This window comes from Homo sapiens, chromosome 17 (assembly GCF_000001405.40).
Source record: "Homo sapiens chromosome 17, GRCh38.p14 Primary Assembly".
NCBI lineage: Eukaryota > Metazoa > Chordata > Mammalia > Primates > Hominidae > Homo > Homo sapiens.
In genome coordinates this window covers 57,896,191-57,910,530 of record NC_000017.11, presented here as the reverse complement: position 1 = coordinate 57,910,530, position 14,340 = coordinate 57,896,191, and the positions used below count along the sequence as shown (strand labels likewise).

The 14,340-nt window shown below is 50.0% G+C and overlaps 1 protein-coding gene across 6 annotated transcripts in view, besides 7 other annotated features; it reads left to right on the top strand.

The window, feature by feature from the left end:
- CUEDC1 (CUE domain containing 1) overlaps positions 1 to 14,340 on the top strand; it is a 94,170-nt gene that overhangs the window by 44,882 nt on the left and 34,948 nt on the right. The window contains exon 1 of one of the 6 annotated variants that reach the window (NM_001292025.2): positions 7,142 to 7,545. The exons of the other annotated variants lie outside the window; for them this stretch is intronic. The gene's annotated coding sequence lies outside the window, so the exon portion shown is untranslated. Of the gene's footprint in view, positions 1 to 7,141; positions 7,546 to 14,340 lie in introns of those variants that run through there. 6 annotated transcript variants of the gene reach the window in all.
- Positions 6,671 to 6,750: an enhancer, noted in NCBI's record as "active region_12452". NCBI's record gives its function as "activates an Ori minimal core promoter by ATAC-STARR-seq in GM12878 lymphoblastoid cells {active_cell/tissue: GM12878}" and the evidence as "EXISTENCE:reporter gene assay evidence [ECO:0000049][PMID:35858748]".
- Positions 6,901 to 6,970: an enhancer, noted in NCBI's record as "active region_12451". NCBI's record gives its function as "activates an Ori minimal core promoter by ATAC-STARR-seq in GM12878 lymphoblastoid cells {active_cell/tissue: GM12878}" and the evidence as "EXISTENCE:reporter gene assay evidence [ECO:0000049][PMID:35858748]".
- Positions 8,301 to 8,350: an enhancer, noted in NCBI's record as "active region_12450". NCBI's record gives its function as "activates an Ori minimal core promoter by ATAC-STARR-seq in GM12878 lymphoblastoid cells {active_cell/tissue: GM12878}" and the evidence as "EXISTENCE:reporter gene assay evidence [ECO:0000049][PMID:35858748]".
- Positions 9,995 to 10,665: an enhancer, noted in NCBI's record as "H3K27ac-H3K4me1 hESC enhancer chr17:55977227-55977897 (GRCh37/hg19 assembly coordinates)". NCBI's record gives its function as "activates a minimal SCP1, AML or CMV promoter by ChIP-STARR-seq in naive H9 embryonic stem cells {active_cell/tissue: H9 hESC(naive)}" and the evidence as "EXISTENCE:reporter gene assay evidence [ECO:0000049][PMID:30033119]".
- Positions 10,666 to 11,337: an enhancer, noted in NCBI's record as "H3K27ac-H3K4me1 hESC enhancer chr17:55976555-55977226 (GRCh37/hg19 assembly coordinates)". NCBI's record gives its function as "activates a minimal SCP1, AML or CMV promoter by ChIP-STARR-seq in naive H9 embryonic stem cells {active_cell/tissue: H9 hESC(naive)}" and the evidence as "EXISTENCE:reporter gene assay evidence [ECO:0000049][PMID:30033119]".
- Positions 10,666 to 11,563: a biological region, named in NCBI's record as "Sharpr-MPRA regulatory region 2303".
- Positions 11,269 to 11,563: a silencer, noted in NCBI's record as "tiled region #2303; K562 Repressive non-DNase unmatched - State 22:ReprW". NCBI's record gives its function as "represses a minimal TATA promoter and a strong SV40 promoter by Sharpr-MPRA in K562 cells {active_cell/tissue: K562}" and the evidence as "EXISTENCE:reporter gene assay evidence [ECO:0000049][PMID:27701403]".

Here is a 14,340-nt window from a genome sequence, read left to right as displayed (position 1 = left end):
CCCGGCCTCCCAAAGTGCTGGGATTACAGGTGTGAACCACTGTGCCCCGCCCTAGGCATATATATTTTTGATCCTTTTTTCTATGCATTTTTTTTTCTGTGGTTGAAAACATAACATATATATGTTAATTTGTATTCTGTGCTCATTTGCATCTTGTATTCTTTGCTTAAACTATCGTAAGCATTTCCCTATGTGCTTTCAGGTGTACTTTTTCTTTTTATTGTCACAGGGGCCCCATGGGCTGAGCAGGGGAGGTCACTGAGGTTTAGCAAGAAAAAAAAACTTACTCCATGAACTCCAGTCTGTGGAGAAGGCTGCCATTGAATGGCCTGTGTTCTTCAACACAGAAATTGTAAGGAAAAGAAAGGGATGGAGGGAGCCAGCCATGGTGGCGTGTGCCTGTGATCCCAGCTACTCAAGAGGCTGAGGCAGGAGGATTGCTTGAGCCCAGGAGTTTGAGGCTGCAGTGAGCTATGGTCCTGCAACTGCACTCCAGCCTGGGCAACAGAAGAGAGAGACCCCATCTCTAAAACAAAACAAAACAAAACAAAACCAGAACCAAACACCCAGTCATTGTGTTGCTAGAACCTCTTTCGGTTATTTCCTCAGCCTGACCGTTGGGTTCTCTTTGATATGCACTTACCTGCTGTCTACCCGCACACACATGCATACCCCGCCTCAGCTGCCCTTTTTCTCTGACTCCTCCCCATTGCTCTGGAGAAGCCCAAGGAGGCAGTTTTGCATTTGCACACTCAGGACAGGGAACAGGGGAGGAGCCTGGGGATGTTAAGACATCCTTCCTCCTGGTGAGACAAACTGGGAAAGCCTTTCTGAGCCTGGTCCTCTGAGGCCTGGGCCCTGCCAGTGTGGACATCAGAATTTAGGCTCCCAGCTGGACCCCAGCTTCTCTCTGCCTGGGTGTGAAGTTTCACAGGAAACAGCCAACGCTTTGATCTTGGATGAGGCTGAGGACTCAGTGATGAGAGGACACAGAGCTCACCCCAGCTCTGTTTGCCCAGGAGATGTGGAAGGGCTCCTCTGCTGGGGATTGACCATCCATAGTCCTTGGTCTCCCTCAGAAAGTCATAATAAAGCTCTTCCAGTTATAGTGAATCAGGGCTTATGTTCTAAAATACGTCCTGTTCAATATGATGGCCATTAACCATAATGGCTGATGAACACTTGAAATGTGATGGTATGACCAAAGAACTGCATTTTAAATTTTATTTAATTTTAGGCTAGGTGCGGTGGCTCATGCCTGTAATCCCAGCACTTTGGGAGGCTGAGGCGGGCAGATTGAGGTCAGGAGTTCGAGACCAGCCTGGCCAACGTGGTGAAACCCCGTCTCGCCATGACAGAACGAGATTTCGTCTCAAAAAAAATTAACAAATAAATACATTTTATTTAATTTTAATTAAAATTAAAATTTTTATTGTCATACATGACCAGTGGCTACCTTATTGGACAGTAGGTTCTAGAAGAAGTAGGTCTCTGAGACAGCCATAGTGGCTACATTATGATCTTCCTTTTTTTTTTGAGACAGTCTCGTTCTGTCACCCAGGCTGGAGTGCAGTAGCGCGATCTTGGCTCACTGCAACCTCTGCCTCCTGGGTTCAAGCGATTCTCCTGCCTCAGCCTCTCGAGTAGCTGGGAATAGAGGTGCATGCCACCACACCCAGTTGATTTTTTCTATTTTTAGTAGAGACGGGGTTTCACTGTGTTAGCCAGGATGGTCTCGATCTCCTGACCTTGTGATCCACCTGCCTCAGTCTCCCAAAGTCCTGGGATTACAGGCGTAAGCCACTGCACCTGGTCACATTATGATCTTTCAAAGCTACCTGTCTTCTTTCTAATGCGTGCACACACACAAATGCACACACACAGCCACAAATAATACCTGGCATGTTTCAGGAAGCCCCTGGATACAACATCCTTTTATTAAAAAATCTACTCTTTAAATATCGTTATCTCAAGTGAGGCAGAGCTGCCGCTGACCACAAATGTGCCCCACACAAGGCTTCTCTTAGCCCTTGCATGATTGGAGATATGTGGCTAAACCTCAGGAAACCGTGCCCCTGGGAAGCCTGTCTTGGCATCACAGTTCTCAGCATGTGGGGCCCTACTTGGGTGTGCCCAAGCTCCTCTGTGCTTCTCTCCTTCAAGAAGAACCTGATGACCAGGCGCGGTGGCTCACACCTGTAATCCCAGTACTTTGGGAGGCCTAGGCAGGCAGATTACCTGAGGTCAGGAGTTTGAGACCAGCCTGGCCAACATGACAAAACCTCGTCTCTACCAAAAATACAAAAATTTGTCAGGTGTGGTGGCGAGCACCTGTAGTCCCAGCTGCTCAGGAGGCTGAGACAGAAGAATCACTTGAACCTGGGAGGTGGAGATTGCAGTGAGCCGAGATCATGCCACTGCACTCCAGCCTGGGAAACAGAGCGAGATTTCGTCTCAAAAAGAACCTGATGCCTGGTGGCTGGCCCGTGGGCATGCGTGTGTGAACGAGGTCCAGTCACAACGGTGTTCAGCTCACCCTGGCAGTTTTTATCTTATTCCCTATTCTGGATCTTATGGCTTGGCCTCAAGTCACAGGAATTTGGGCCTTCTGCAAGAATTGGGGGGTGGGGTGCACTGGCAGCTTTTTCTTTCTCATTTTAGATAGGTACAGTATTTTTTTTTTTTTTTTTTGAGTCTCACTCTTTTGCCCAGGCTGGAGTGCAGTGGCGTGATCTCGGCTCACTGCAAGCTTCACCTCCCGGGTTCAAGCAATTTTCCTGCCTCAGCCTCCTGAATAGCTGGGATTACAAGCGCTTGTCTCCACACCCAGCTAATTTTTGTATTTTTAGTAGAGACAGGGTTTCACCATGTTGGCCAAGCTGGTATCGAACTCCTGACCTCAAGTGATCCGCCTGCCTTGGCCTCCCAAAGTTCTGGGATTGCAGGCATGAGCCACTGCGCCTGGCCCAGTATGTACTTTTGAACAAGATTTGTGGGGGTACTGAAGATGTACAGAGGTATTTACTAGATGTAAATAGGGTCCTCTTATCCCTTACCCCCACTTTCCCACTACCCTGAACCTGGGAGCATGCTCCCGTCTGTGGAGTGAATGATCCAGCCTGACTGAGGGTCCTCTAGGACAGACTGCTGATCCTCTTCTCCCAGCCTCTCCTGCCCACTTCCTCCAGTATCTCTCTTCCCCAGTCCCCTCCTGTCCAAGGTTCCCTGATGCATGCTTCGTTTTCCAGCACACTAGCCTTTTAAAATACTGTTTCCTAGCGTATCATAACGCAAGGATTTCAAATGTCCACAAAGTATCCCTGCAGTGCTGTCTCCCCCAGCCTTGTGGCATGCGTGACTCTGCAGGCCATCTGAACAGCCCTCGTCAACAGGGGTGTCATTGTCTCCCAGCCCACTCCATGCAGATGGGGACAGAGCCCCTCTGTGCAGGCCAGGATTTCCTGTGTGCTGGCTGCCCTCTCTCTAAATAGCCCGAGTAGTGCCCCCTTCTGCCTGGTGATGGTGATTCATGGTGTCTTCTTTTTTTTTTTTTTTTTGTGAGGCAGAGTTTCACTCTTGTTGCCCAGGCTGGAGTGCAATGGCATGATCTCGGCTCATCACAACCTCCACCTCCTGGGTTCAAGCGATTCTCCTGCCTCAGCCTCAAAGTAGCTGGGATTACAGGCGCCCGCCATCACGCCCGACTAATTTTTATATTTTTAGTAGAGACGAGGTTTCACTATGTTGGCCAGGCTGGTCTCGGAACTCCCTATCTCAGGTGATCCACCCGCCTTGGCCTCCCAAGGTTCTGGGATTACAGGCATGAGCCACCGCACCTGGCCTGACTCATGGTGTCTTCTACAATCTGGTGCCTTATTTGTCTCTCTCTTTCTTGTGTAAAACATACTAAATATAAAACTTACCATTTTAACCATTTTTAAGCGTATAATTCAGTGGCATTTAGTAGATCCACATTATTGTGCCACCATCACCACTATCCATTTCCAGAACTTGTTTATCATCCCAAACAGAAACTCTATGCCCATTAAGTAATAAGTCCCCAATTCTCCCTCTTCCCTGAGTCCTTGGAAACCTCTATTCTACTTTCTGTCTCTATGAGTTTACCTGTTCTAGGTTCCTCATATAAGTGGAATTATACAATATTTGTACTTCTATGTCTGGCTTCTGTCACTTAGTATAATGTTTTCAAGGTTCATCCACATTGTAGCATGTGTCAGCATTTCATTCCTTTTTGTGGCTGAGTAATATTCCATTGTTCTAAATATGTAGAGTACATTTTGTTTATCCATTTATCTATTGATGGACACTTGGATTGTTTCCAGCTGTGGACTATTGTGAATAACACCACTATGAACACTGATGTACAATTACCTATTTGAGTCCTGTTTCCAATTTGTTGGGTTATATACCCATGAATGGAATCACTGGAGCATATGGTAATTCTGTGTTTAACTTTGAGGAACCACCAAACTGTGGTTTTTCACTGTGTTTCACTATCTTTTTCATAGTGGCTGTACCATTTTACATTGCCACCAACAATGAACTTTATTTTGTTTAATATCTTATTTTAAACTGCAGAAACAAGGCATATTTCTTGTAAGAACACCAAAGGTTGCAGAGGTACATGAAGCAAAGAGCAGGAGTTGCCCCCACACAACCCTTCCTTTTAGGTAACTGCTGCCTTGGATTTGGTGCATATCCACCCAGACGTCTTCCTGTGTGTACCCAAGTGTACACATGGACATCCAGACATTTGAACAAAAATGGTACGGTGTACACATGGCCTGGCCACTTGGTTTTTTTCATGCGATTCTATTTGGCACTGGAAGGTGTTGGCTGCATGTGGATGTGCCCTGTGTTTTTTGTTGCATATGGGGTATTGAGAGACAAGTGGGTGGTTCCCCATTTTAGCTCTGCATTTACGGCTTTGCACGCGTGGGCCTGTGTTTCACCAGATCATAGCCTGTTTGGGGAATGTGAGCTGAGCACGCACTGGGGAGGCCCTCCAGCCCAGAGCCATCTTCCCCGCCAGCCTCAGTCTTTCCCAAGTTGCTTGCCACCCCCAGTGCAGCTAAACTGAGCTGAGCTGTGAGCTTCCTTGTGAAGGAGGGCCACCCACCTGGCCTCAGCACGCAGGCAGCGCGCAGCCAGGCATCCCCTCCCCTCTGGAATACCAGAGTGACTTAGAGCTGGGTGGAGAGTTGAGCAGCAGGCTGGAGTGTGTGTGTGTGTGTGTGTGTGTGTGTGTGTGTGTGTGTGTCAGAGAGAGAGAGAGAAGCTGTAGCCATTAGCCTGCTGGTCTCTAGTGGTACCGGGTGGCAGTGTTCTTCATGGTGACTTGCAGGACCCTCGAGGCATGCAGCCCCCTCATTCGCTCAGGAAGGCCCAGTTAGGCCTGGCAAAAGGCCACCTGTAAAGCCAGGGACCAGCCGGTCTTTCTCCAGCACCTTTTTCTGCAGAGCCCCGGGCAGCTGGTGGGAGAGTACAAAAAGGCCTGGAAAATCCGTAAACTGTATAATCAGCCCCTGCATCTTGGCCGCTTGACTCTGTTTATTGCTTCCTGTCCCCGAAAGCCCTTTACAAAAAGAGCTGCTTTGGTAGGGGGATGAGTTGGACCCGGTGGGTGGCCTGCCCCTGTGGTCCCAGCACGGATGGAGCAGGTAGCTTCCCTGAACAAGCCACCTCTGCTGCAGCCACCCCTGCAGAGCCGAGGAAGGGTGGGAATGAGGCCCCCCCACTCCCCTACGGTAGGGCGATCCCCCCACGCCTAGCCCCTAGGGCCATTTACTTTGTAATTGCCAAAGGACAGGGGTCCCATTTCTCCCAATTTCCTTGAAGGCCTCAAGGTTAAGCTCTCCTGAAGTGCAGGAGGGGAGCAGAGTGAAATCTTAGCCTCTTGATGACCCCTGTGAAATGGGACGGGGAGCAGGGGCCATTCCCGGGGAACTAAGGACAGGCCTGGGCCCCAGGGCTTATAAGGCTTGCTCAAAGCCTGTTTTTTTGTTGTTTGCATTACATTTTTAGAAACAGATTTTTCCTCGTTGATTGACTTTTTTCCTCTGGTGACCATATTCCCTTCCCTCCCTCCCACCTCCCCAACCTTCATCCCTCTTCTCCAGAATTCAGCCTTTCCCACCACTCCTGGTGGCTGATGTGTGACTTTTTCAGGGAACAGCTGCAGCTCGAAAAGTTGCCCGAGACACAGTGTTTCAGGGTTGCTGGGTGCCCGTGAGGATGGTTATGGGTGTTTTTCTCACCTAGGAGACGCGGTGGGGTAGGGGGGCCAGGACAGCTGCATGGTTGGAGGAGAGATGCCATCTTTTGGCAAGGGGGTGCAGGAAGGCAGTCTTCCTAGAGCTGGGGCTGCCCCCTGCCAGCTGGGGTGAGGGGGTGTCTTTCATCTCTCCCAGACGCAGGGCTCCCACTGGGGTCTGGCTGCCCAGAGTCCCATCCTTCCCTCTGTGGCCGGCCTTGTGCCTCCTTTGCTTGGTCTCCCTGACTTGGAACACTTTTGACCACAAAAACCCTGATTTTATCCCTGTTGGAAACCCTCTCTGATTTTTTTTTTTTTTGAAACACGGTCTCTCTCTCTGTCACCCAGGCTGGAGTGCAGTGGAGCCATCATAGCTCACTGCAGCCTTGAACGCTTGGGCTCAAGTAATCCTCCCATCTCACCCTCCTGAATAGCCGGGACTACAGGTGTGCACCACCATGCCTAGCTAATTTTTCCTTTTGTGTAGAGAAAGGGTCTCTATGTTGCTCAAGCTGGTCTCAAGCTCCTGGCCTCAAGTGGTCCTCTCATCTCAGCCACCCAAAGCACTGGGATTATATAGGTTTTCATATACTGTGCCCAGCCTCTGATTTAAAAAACAGTGGAGATGAGTTGGCCTGTATTTTCTCTGTGGACCTGCTGTATGGGGCTGTGGGTTGGCCTGCACTTTTCTGCAGGTGGCCTGTCTAAGCTGACTTCCACCTGGGACCTGTGTGTGTTTGAGCCTGTGCTTTGGTTGTGCAATTCTGAGCCTGCCCCACCCTCCTAGCTCCTTCCTGAAAGTGAAATGCTACAGTCTTTGCTCAAGAACAAAGGACTCAAGCTCAGCCCTGCATGTTAATAATTTTCAAGTGTGGCCACTTCCTCTTGCCTGGCCTGACTCACCCTGGCTGCTGCCCATTGTGGCTGCCATGGAAATACAACTCGAGGAGAACCCAGACCAGGACAGGGAGGCCATGTTCTGGGTGGCAGTGGAGCCTGGCAAGGTGCCCTCCTGGCCTGGGACTGCTGTGGCAGAGGAAGCATGAGGTGGGGCCTGGCCTGCCCAGCTCAGAGCTGAGGTGCCCCCTTGGTTTTTTACCTCCCTGTTCCCTGGCTGGCCCACTGCACCCACGCACTCAACGCAGTGGCTTCGCTCCTCCTCCAGGATGGCTGGAGGTGGGACCATTGCCAGGATGGCCTCAAGTGCCCAGCCCTCCTGGAAGACTCAGTTTCCCTCTTTGTCCCATGCAGAGGTGCAGAGATTCATTATTGTAAGTGGGGTGACAACATGGTGAGGGGTTGGAGTGTGGGCTCTGGGGTAGAATCCTGACCTGGTTACTCCTGGCTGCGAGACTTGGGGCAAGGTATTTAACTCCTCTGTACTTCAATCCCCTCCTCTGCAAAATAACAGTCCCTACTTCATAGGATTGTTGTGAGGATGGCATGGCACCTGGGCCAGCTCTCTGCTATAGGGTTTGTGCCCAACCTGGAGCCTGGCTGAATGCAAAGCGTTCGGGGACTTTCCCGCAACGTCTTAAGCTGTTGAGTGCTGTGCACACGTAAAGCACAATCATTGTGGACAGTCAGTGTGGTCAGAGTGAGAGGATAATCTATCTTGGGATTCTCAAATGACTAGTATCAGCAGATCCTGGCTACAATTCACAGATGTTTCCCCTGTGGAAGCTGGGTTTTCATCCTTGCCTTTCCTGTTCATCCTTCCTCTTTAGTTATTTTGCACATGCACACAGGTTCACCATACACAAAGGTAGCATGAATCTCAATTCAACCCGTGTCCGGGCTGTGGGTCTGCTAATCCCCACAACTCTGCTGTTAGGGATACACAGACCTTGCAGGACGAGTCAGTCATATGTTTGCCACCAGCAAGCAGTGTTCAAGCACTACCTGAATGTATCATCGTTTCTCTTTTTGAGATGGAGGTCTCGCTCTGTTGCCCAGGCTGGAGTGAGTGGTGTGATCTCAGGTCACTGCAACCTCCGCCTCCCAGGTTCAAGCACTGAATGCATCATGGTTTTTTTTGTTTTTTGTTTTTTGTTTTTTTTTTTCTGAGGTGGAGTCTCGCTCTTGTCTTCCAGGCTGGAGTGCAATGGCGTGATCTTGGCTCCCTGCAACCTCTGCCTCCCTGCAACCTCTGCCTCCTGGGCTCAAGCAATTCTCCTGCCTCAGCCTCCTGAGTAGCTGGGATTACAGGCACCTGCCACCACGCCTGGCTAATTTTTGTATTTTTAGTAGAGATGGGGTTTCACCATGTTGTCCAGGCCGATCTTGAACTCCTGACCTCAGGTGATTAGCCTGCCTCGGCCTCCCAAAGTGCTGGGATTACAGGTGTGAGCCACCATGCCCGGCCAGTGCATCATATTTTAATGATGATTATCGAAGAAGCCAAGGGACTGAGAAATGTCTAGCTGCTTCTGGAAGATTCTTGCAACTGCTGGCTGCTTCTCATGCTGTTTTCTCATATCCCTTAAGTCTAATTAAACTTGCAACCCATTTGTAGGCTGGGGCCGTTCCGGCTACATCCTCTATACAGCCCAATCCCTCATGCCCATTCTGTGTTGGGAGAAGGGGAGCACACCATTCACACCTCCCAGGTGGCTGCTTCCCTGTGACAGACAGAGTAGGTGCAAGTTTGGGCTTGTGAGGTGATTTGGCAGTGCCTTTGTTTGATGACTGTTGACTAAGCCCAGGTGTGCAGACTCAGTGTTTACAGAGTCCTGGTTGGCTCACGGCTGGGGCTGGAATGAAGAAAATAAATATTCAGGGGAGGGGTAGGTGGCATGGATGATCCAAAAGCCATCTGTTTAGGGCCTAGAGCCAGAGGTAAGGTATTTTTTCAGGTTTCCTTAAATCAACTAGACAGGAACTTTATGTCATGAGTGTCTACAGTGTGCGCTGGCTGCTACAGGGACCAAGCAGTCTGTGAAAGTCAGTTTGTATACCTGTGGACCAGCTGGGAACCTAGAGTGGACACAGAGAATGTTGGAGGTGAAAAGAGTCTTGGAGATTATTTAGTCCTACCCTCCCATTTTCCGGATGGAAACCTGGAGGCCCAGTAGGTAAAATGATGTGTCCGAGGTCACTTGGCTAGTTAGTGATGGGACCAAAACCAGCATCCAGGTCTCTGAACTGCATCACCTTGCAAGAGAGTGGTCCTCACAATTTACTGTGTATCAGAATGACCCAGGGAGCTTGTTAGAAAGCACATCCCCAGAGCATGTTCTCAGAGATTCTGATTTAATAGTGGGTTAGAGAATATGGGTTCTTAGCAAACACCTCAGGGGAGTCTGAGGAAGGTGGTCGCCACCGTCCTCTGAGATACACCTGCTATAGTGCAAAGAACATTTGACTTCTTAGACTGATGGAAAAGCTCATTGCATTTCCTGAAGCCTCATCAGTAGCAGTGAGCAGAACAGGCAGAGATGCAAACAGCTTTAAAGATGAGAGCATGAGGGATTAAACCCAGGCTTTAAAATGCATTGCAAGTAAGTGGTATGTCAGGAGACTTGACATGTACATGCAATTTCAATGTGGCGCAGTCCTGGACAACCTCTAGGTCACACACGACTCAGTGTATCTATCTATAAAATGGTGATGATGATGGTGGAAGGTAATAACCTGCACTACTACATTGTCACGAGGATTAAATGATGTGATGCACGAGAAGTACTTTGCCTAGCACTTGGTAAATGGCAGCTTCTCTGATGATGCATAATTGCTGGGGGTGGATGAGGGCAGGTTTCTGTTTAATGCCTTTACATAATGGACTTCTGCTGAGGGTTTCATTTGAAGAAAGGGGTTCTGGTTCTGTAGCTAAAGAAAGTGTACAGACCCTTCCATCCCTGGGGGACTAGGATGCAGCAGGCTGTTTCTGCAGAGGGCTCATCCTGGTTTGTGCCTAGAACAGTGGTGCCTTTCTCTGGTCCTGACCGGCTCCCCCAGCCCCCACCTATATCCCTGGAAGATTTCAATGATCAGACCAAACAGGGACTGTTTCTCTCCATTTTCTAGAAGTAGAGATTGAGGCCCTCGGGAGGCGAAAGGAAGCTGGTTATGGGACCCCTAAAAGCTCTTGCCCCCTTCCCCTGATTGTTAGATTTGGGGCTGAGGCTACCAGCCCCAGCTGGCCTGAGGTCCTTCCCTGCACTGCCTTCTAGGAGCTGGGCCTGCAGGGAACCAGGAAGCTGGTGTCTTGGCCAGGGTGTGCCACTTCCTGGTTCTGGCCAGTTTTGCTGCAAGTCAGGTCAGCCTGACCTTACCAATGCTGTAAAACCCATTCTGGGTGCAGATGGGGGAAGAGAGGGATCCCAGGGCCTCATCTGGCCCTGCTATCAGCCTAATGAAGGGGGTGGCTTGGAGGGTGGGCTGTGGGAGGGCTGAGGGTGCTGTCAGTGCGCACTAGCGAGTGTGTATAGAAGAGTGACTGTAATTTTAAAAACATAGCTTCAGAGTTGGGCGAAGAGGGGAGTAGTACATTGAGTGCCTGGGCTGTGTGGGACGGTTCAAAAAAAATCCTAAAGTGTTGTCTGTGTCCTATGGCTGCGAGGGCCTGGGAGGAGCATGTGGCACTGTGCAAGTGAATGGGGTTGAGTGAGCTGGTGTGTGTGGCAGTGAGTGGGAGCCTGTTAGCACATGCAGGCATGTGAGCTGTGTGCTGGCATGTGCTGCTGTATGTGCCCATACAAGGAGAGAGCACTGGCCAGGAGTCTCACGATCTGGGTTCGAATCCCAGTGCTGCAGCCACTGGGCTCTCTGACCTCTGGCAACATGCACCATGTGGAAGTGAAAACATGAGGTTTCTCCTGCCTCCCTAACCGTGGCAGCTCCAGAGTATACGTGTGGGCACGTGGGTATGTGGATGGGCAGGAGAGGGGACCTGGGCAGCTGGGCTCTGGGCGCCCCTGACTGTGCAAGGGGATCGCTGCTGCTACACAGGCGGAGCAGGGGCTGAGGCCGGGTGGAGGGAGCAGTCTGTGGTTGGGGGGGTGCAGCTGGCCCAGCAGTGAGTGGCTCTAAATTATCCCATCTGCTGTCTGGGCTGGGCCCTTCTCACTCTGGGTGGAATTTCTGATGGTGTCCCGGCTGCCTGAGGCGGGCGGCCTCCCAGCCGCAGCTGCTGCCTGCTCTTTTGAAGCTCAGCCCTGGGCCAGCCACCCCTCCCTCCCAGCCTCTGTTCCTCTGTCCTGGGCCTACATTCCTCAGCTGCCAGAGAAGGCATTTCTGAGAGGGCCACTCTGCCTGTGCTCCTGCTGCCCAGAGCCCATGGAGCCCCTCCCTTGGGGGACAGGCCCCTTCAAGCCACCTCCTTCCCCTGGTTAGGAGTGGGCACCCTGCATTATTCCAATCACTTCTCCTACCCTTGGAAGCTTAGCTGGAGGGCAGGGTATGGGCAGGAATGGGCACAGGGCTGCTGGCCCAGCTCCCTGCTCCTCCCTTGGGGTCCCTGAGCCCTCTCAGCCTGAGGTCCTGGAGGTCCCTGAGTGGGGAGGCCTTTGTGCTCCACATTCACTCCCTTCAGGGCTGGATTCCCAGGCCAGACGCCTGGGCCAGACTCTAGAATCAGCCCCTTGGAACTATGTGGCCTTGGGGTGTGAATGGCCCGTGCTCATAGAGTCTTACTAACAGCTGCCTCTGACTGACAGCTTCCCTTGTGGGGTGCTGTGCATGCCCACCACAGTCAATCCCCTGCAGGAGCGCCATCTGAGAAGGTATATGTATCCCCATATTACAGATTGCTCAGAGCAATCCTGCTTGCCCCATAAGCTGCAGGATCAGGAGGTAAGCAGAGGACTGCCCAACTCCTGACCACTCAGGCTAAAGCCCCACTCCTGACCACTCGCTCCATGGCTTCCTACCCCAGACATAGCACCAGTAAACAACTTGTGGTCTCCCCTCCACCGGCAGCTTCCTGGCCAGACCCCCAGCCCTGTTGTGCCCCAACAGGCCCTCCACACTGTGGTTCTACCTCTGAAACAGCTATGCTATGAGCCAGCACTTTGTCCACTCGGCCCTCATTCCTTCCCTGCATCCCCAGCAGGAGGCAGGTGAGTCCCTGACCAAGGTTGGAGGGTGCACCATGGGGTGCAGTGACTGAAGAAAGCCTGCCTAAATGATCAGAGCAGGAAGGATTGGGTTGGGATTCTTAGGATTGAAAAGGTTTTAAAGCCCTGGAGGCTCTGGGGTTTGCTTTCTTAAGATTTTTTCTACCACAATTCAGTTTTTATTTTTTTAGACCTAGTCTCGCACTGTCGCCCAGGCTGGAGTGCAGTGGTGCAATCTCGGCTCATTGCAACCTCTGCATCCTGGTTTCAAGCGATTCTCCTGCTCCAGCCTCCTGAGTCGCTGAGATTACAGGCACCTGCCACCACGCCCAGCTAAGTTTTGTATTTTTAGTAGAGTCGGGGTTTCACCATGTTGGCCAGGCTGGTCTCAAACTCCTGACCTCGTGATTCACCCGCCTCAGCCTCCCAAAGTGCTGGGATTACAGGCGTGAGCTACCGCGCCTGGCCATAATTCAGGTTTTGTAAAATTTTGTTTTAATTAGAGAGTAAAGACATTCTAGAAAAACTTTTTTTTTTTTTTTTTTTCATTGAGACCAGGCTGGAGTGCAGTGGCACGGTCTTGGCTCACTGCAAGCTCCGCCTCCTGGGTTCACACCATTCTCCTGCCTCAGCCTCACGAGTAGCTGGGACTACAGGTGCCTGCCACCACACCCGGCTAATTTTTTGTATTTTTAGTAGAGACGGGGTTTCACCGTGTTAGCCAGAATGGTCTGAATCTCCCTACCTTGTGATCCACCTGCCTCGGCCTCCGAAAGTGCTGGGATTACAGGCGTGAGCCACTGCGCCCGGCTAGAAAAACTTTTAATTAGAGACACTATAGGTTGGAAGTTAAGAAGATCATGGACTCCGGGGCCAGACTGTTTGGATTCCAAATCGGGCTCTGCCACTGACTATGTGACCCTGTGTAAGTTATTTAATCTCTCTGAGCCTTAGTTTTCTTTTCTGTGAAATGGATGTATTCATTGCTGTACTGTGGGGATTTGATGAGATAATGCATGCCAAGTATATAGAAAATGCATGTACCTACCAAGTGCTCATAGACGTTTGCTATAATTATTATTAAATAGTAACTTATGTCTGCTGTAGATGATATAATATGCAAAAGACATGGCCAGGCGCGGTGGCTCATGCCTGTAATCCCAGCACTTTGGGAGGCCTAGGCAGGCAGATTATCAGAGGTCAGGAGTTCGAGACCAGCCTGGCCAACATGGTGAAACCCCATCTTTACTAAAAATACAAAAAATTAGTTTGGCATGGTGGCACGCACCTGTAGTCTCAGCTACTCTGGAGGCTGAGGCAGGAGAATCACTTGAACCCGGGAGGCAGAGGTTGCATAAGCTGAGATCACATCACTGCACTCCAGCCTGGATGACAGAGAGAGACTCCATCTCAAAAAAAAAAAAAAAAAAAAAGAAAGAAGAAAAAGATATAAAAATCACTGGCAATGCTATTACTTTAATGTTCTTAGTAATCCAATAATAATGGATTATTTGCATATTTTATTTTTAAATTAATAAATGAGTATCAATCAAAATTTTAGAGGTATACAAGAATCTGTAGTGGAAAAATTTCCTTGATCTATCTCTTATGACCCAGTTCTCCCCAGGGGAAACATATATTATCAGTTTCTTGTGAATCCTTTCGGATTTCATACACACACACACACACACACACACACACACACACACACACCCCATAATGCACTATAGTAGAGTGACTATACTCATTGTTTTGTACCTTGCATTGTTCCCTTAGGTCTTGGGCTAAAGAGACATATTGAAATCCCTCATTTTTGTTTGTTATTGAATAGCATTATATAGAGAGAGGAGGATGCTGATAATGTATCATATTTTCATCAGCCTGCTACGGGTAGACTTGTAGAGTGTTTCCAGTCTTCTGCTGTTAGACTATTACAAGGAATATCCTTATGCCCATACTCAACACAGTTGCAAACATATCATCTGTAGGTAAATTTCATAGAAGTGGAAT